Raw genomic sequence first — 4,518 nt, 5'->3', positions numbered from 1 at the left:
TATTTGAACTCAACACTATCACTCATATGGATATAACTTATATCTATAGATCACTTAATTCAACAACAGGCAGAATATACATTCTCCTCTAGCCCACACAGAATCTTCCCCAAAATAAACATATTCTAGAACACAAAGCTCATCTTAAAATATTTAAGAGAATCAAAATTGTACAATATATACTCTCTGACAACAATGAAATTAAACTAGATATCAATAACAGAAAGATAACTGGAAAATCCCAAAATACACGGAGATTAAACATTATACTCTTAAATACAATGTGACCCAAAGAAAAAATCTCAAGAGAAATAAAAACTTTTATAAAATAAATAAAAGTGAAAATACAGCTTACCAAAATATGTGAGATGCAATGAAAGCAGAACTTAGAAGGAAATATATTTACTGTAAAGAAAGCAAAAACAAGATGAAAGATAAAGCAATTGGAATTTTGGAATAAATATTGATAGCTTAATAGTCTGCAGAACATAAAAGCATCCAAAATTAAGAAGGAAAACACAACATCCCAAACAAAACCCTCGCTTAAGAGCTGTAAGGAACATGGCTGTGCTTTGGTCAAGGATCGGCCGAGGTAGGATGTTTACATCCTGCATGACTTAGCGAGTTTAGAGTGCAGGCATGTAGCTCCACTTCTTATCACAGCCATGTAGCCATAACATGGGAAGGCCATTACTTGTCTCTATGCCACTATTGTCCGTAAAAGGTGTAATTGTTCTGTTAACACTGTGCAGACACACTAGCACCCAGAGAAAGAGAGGGAGCCAGAGCTGTCCGTCTTTGCAGACGGACAGAGGGAAGCCAGGATCCAGCTAGGCTCGCTTGTGCCCAGAGAGAGAAAGGGTTAAGCTGCTGACCCTGAAGGCAAGGCAGAGCTGGCTGCGCAGCTGTGTGTGGGGGCCGCAGCACTAAGCAGATGAGACAGGCTGGACAGTGTGAGAAAGCTGTTAATGAGAGTTGCTACTGAATAAAATCATCTTTCACCTGCCTACGGCCCCCCAAGTGTTCTTTCTGCTCATCCACCCACTCCCTTAGGACCTCAGCATGGGCTGGAACCCGACCCCTGGCGTGACAATTGCCATAGTCGTGAACCTGACAAGAGCATACAGAGGTGACTCCCCCATGAAATGAGGAGATACTTCTTGTCAGAAATGATCAACCAAAAGCATACTAAAGTGGTGTGAAAAGAAAATAAATCTTGGGACCCTAGACTCACTAAGCCAAGGGAAAAGTGAAGCAGGGAACGATGTCAGACAAACCCGCCTCTCATTTTATTCCTAAATAAGATAGCTACAAAGCTAAAGCTACACATCCTCCTCACAATTTGCCCACAAGAACATTCCTTGTGGGCCTCAAGATTTCTACTCTAAAACAGTTCTGTTGAATTTCACCCTGGCAATGTAAACTGACAGCTTATCGTCACAGGTGTGGGACAGAAAGTCATCCCTCTGCTCACCTAAGACAAATGCATATCTGATTGCTTCCTCTGCCCTATTGTTTATGTAAAAATGCAGATTCACCGAGCCAGACTAAATTGTGTATTCAGTGAAAGGCTGACCAAGGATTCAAAAAAATGTAACCTTTTGTCTCTTATCTGCCTATGGTCTGGAAGCCTCTTACATCGAGTTGTCCTGCTTTTCCTGACCCAACCAATGTACATCTTACACATATTTACTGATGTCTCATGACTCCCTAAAATGGATAAAAGCAAGCTGTGCCCCGACCATTTTGGGCACATGTTGTCAGGACCTCCTGAGGCTGTGTCACAAGCACATCCTTAACCTTGGCAAAATAATCTTCCTAAATTCGTTGAGATCTATCTCAGATATTTTGGGTTCACAGGGGGATGTTTGTTTGTTTGTTTACTAAGTAGGCAAATACTGTACATATAAATAATTCACCAAAGAAATTTAGGTCGGTAGCAATTGCTATGTATATAATTTAAAAGAGGCCCTGTGATGGAAATAGTAAAGTCATATATGTTTTGCCGAGACACACGAGAATACCATGAGGTTTGCATGAGAATATCAAAGAACATGTAAGAGAAGATGGAGACATAGATGTGTGAACATGTGTATGTTAATGAAGAAACGTATCCATTGTGTCTATCCTCAGTCCCTCCATGGTCTGCCCTTCCTGCTCCTGTCCTCATATATTACTGATCCCAGTAGTCCTTCCAATCCACTGCCCCTTCTCATGGCTTGGCCTGTGCCACAGACACACTTTCTCCTCTTTCCTTCCCATTTGCTGGACTCACTGATTCTCACTTTCCAGAATCTCCTCCAATGTTCCTCCTCCTACAGGTCTCCTTTGTTCATCCCATTCCAGGTCTGATGCCTTTGCCCTGAGTTCTCAAGGGCAGCTCTTTCACCTATAGTGCATATTTCTGTTAAGTTTTTTCAATACCCACTGAACTGAAATACCAGAGAATATGAATACTTTGTCGATGTGGCTCCCTTACAAACTCCACACAGGTAGTGGACAAAGAACAACAGAAAATTATCCTTTATACTGGATTTCACTAATGAATGAATCTCTCAAATTCTTCACCTATATTTTTCCCAATAAACTCCAACATTCTTTCAATCTGAAGGGGTTTTGAACTTGAAGATTAACCTTTTTTTTTTTTTTTACTTTCTTCTGTTCTGAGGACAGGATGTGAGCCCTGACTTTTCCCTCAGCCAGTCTCTTCTCCAGCCGCACCATTCTCAAACCACCATAGAGACCTGCTATGGACCATGCTAATTCTCAACGATTTGTACTTCTTATCCTTTTGGACAGGTTTGTCCTCTGAGATCAAGGAAAGTCTTCTTGTGCTCTAAGATTCTAAGATTCAGTTTATCAATATGCTCTCTTGATAGGTATTTTTGTGTCTGTATCAGTTACCACATTTCACCTCTTTTAGTACTTTTTTCACATTTTATCATAATTATTATTACTCTGGTGGCAGCCATGGCATAGTTTTCAGTGTCTGCACATGGAACAATTTCCCCTGACATCTTATGCTGTCATCTTCTGGAAAGTTCAGCTGCATAAATAAAGTTCACCTGCATTATAATTTGAAGAATGTGTGTTAATAGGAAAGGCAGAAATCACACAGGCAATGGTGCAGCCTCCTTTATAAAGCAATGTTTCATTGCTATAATTCTTCATACCAGTGGGTGATGTTATACCACCTGTAACTCTGGATGAAAATATGATTCATAACAATCAGAATCAGAATACCAATATATTTATGGATTAATTTATGAGTTATTTAAATTTTGCTTTAATTTTTATGTGAATAAAACTTTATAATTCTATAAAGGATTTTATTGTAATTATAAAATAATGCTATTGTATGTGTAATTGATTGGCAAAGATATTATTCTTTTCTTTAGATTTTTCTTAAAACATTCATTCATTGACATACAGTAGACAACCCCATGGAGACTCTTAAGACTCAGTGCATTGGTTAATTCTGACCTTCCCTTTGGCAATACAATGGTAGTGCAGTTATCTCTCTTTATAAACTTCATTCACGCTCTTCTTTTTTTTTTATTATACTTTAAGTTTTAGGGTACATGTGCACAACATGCAGGTTAGTTACATATGTATACATGTGCCATGTTGGTGTGCTGCACCCATTAACTCGTCATTTAGCATTAGGTATATCTCCTAATGCTATCCCTCCCCCCTCCCCCCACCCCACAACAGGACCTGGTGTGTGATGTTCCCCTTCCTGTGTCCCTGCATGCTCATTGTTCAATTCTCACCTATGAGTGAGAACATGCGGTGTTGGTTTTTTGTCCTTTCGATAGTTTGCTGAGAATGATGGTTTCCAGCTTCATCCATGTCCCTACAAAGGACATGAACTCATCTTTTTTATGGCTGCATAGTATTCCATGGTGTATATGTGCCACATTTTCTTTTTTTTTTTTCTTTTCTTTTTTTTATTATACTTTAGGTTTTAGGGTACATGTGCACATTGTGCAGGTTAGTTACATATGTATACATGTGCCATGCTGGTGCGCTGCACCCACTAACTCGTCATCTAGCATTAGGTATATCTCCCAATGCTATCCCTCCCCACTCCCCCCACCCCACCACAGTCCCCAGAGTGTGATATTCCCTTTCCTGTGTCCATGTGATCTCATTGTTCAATTCCCACCTATGAGTGAGAATATTTTCTTAATCCAGTCTATCATTATTGGACATTTGGGTTGGTTCCAAGTCTTTGCTATTGTGAATAGTGCCGCAATAAACATACCTGTGCATGTGTCTTTATAGCAGCATGATTTATAATCCTTTGGGTATACACCCAGTAATGGGATGGCTGGGTCAAATGGTATTTCTAGCTCTAGATCCCTGAGGAATAGCCACACTGACTTCCACAATGGTTAAACTAGTTTACAGTCCCACCAAAAGTGTAAAAGTGTTCCTACTTCCCCACATCCTCTCCAGCACCTGTTGTTTCCTGACTTTTTAATGATTGCCATTCTAACTGGTGTGAGATGGTAT

At 39.7% G+C, this 4,518-nt stretch overlaps 2 annotated features.

Moving 5' to 3' along the window:
* Positions 479–1,025: an enhancer, noted in NCBI's record as "H3K27ac hESC enhancer chr15:24942053-24942599 (GRCh37/hg19 assembly coordinates)". NCBI's record gives its function as "activates a minimal SCP1, AML or CMV promoter by ChIP-STARR-seq in primed H9 embryonic stem cells {active_cell/tissue: H9 hESC(primed)}" and the evidence as "EXISTENCE:reporter gene assay evidence [ECO:0000049][PMID:30033119]".
* Positions 1,026–1,573: an enhancer, noted in NCBI's record as "H3K27ac hESC enhancer chr15:24941505-24942052 (GRCh37/hg19 assembly coordinates)". NCBI's record gives its function as "activates a minimal SCP1, AML or CMV promoter by ChIP-STARR-seq in primed H9 embryonic stem cells {active_cell/tissue: H9 hESC(primed)}" and the evidence as "EXISTENCE:reporter gene assay evidence [ECO:0000049][PMID:30033119]".

This window comes from Homo sapiens, chromosome 15 (assembly GCF_000001405.40).
Source record: "Homo sapiens chromosome 15, GRCh38.p14 Primary Assembly".
Classification (NCBI taxonomy): Eukaryota; Metazoa; Chordata; class Mammalia; order Primates; family Hominidae; genus Homo; species Homo sapiens.
This window is presented reverse-complemented; position numbering and strand designations above follow the sequence as displayed.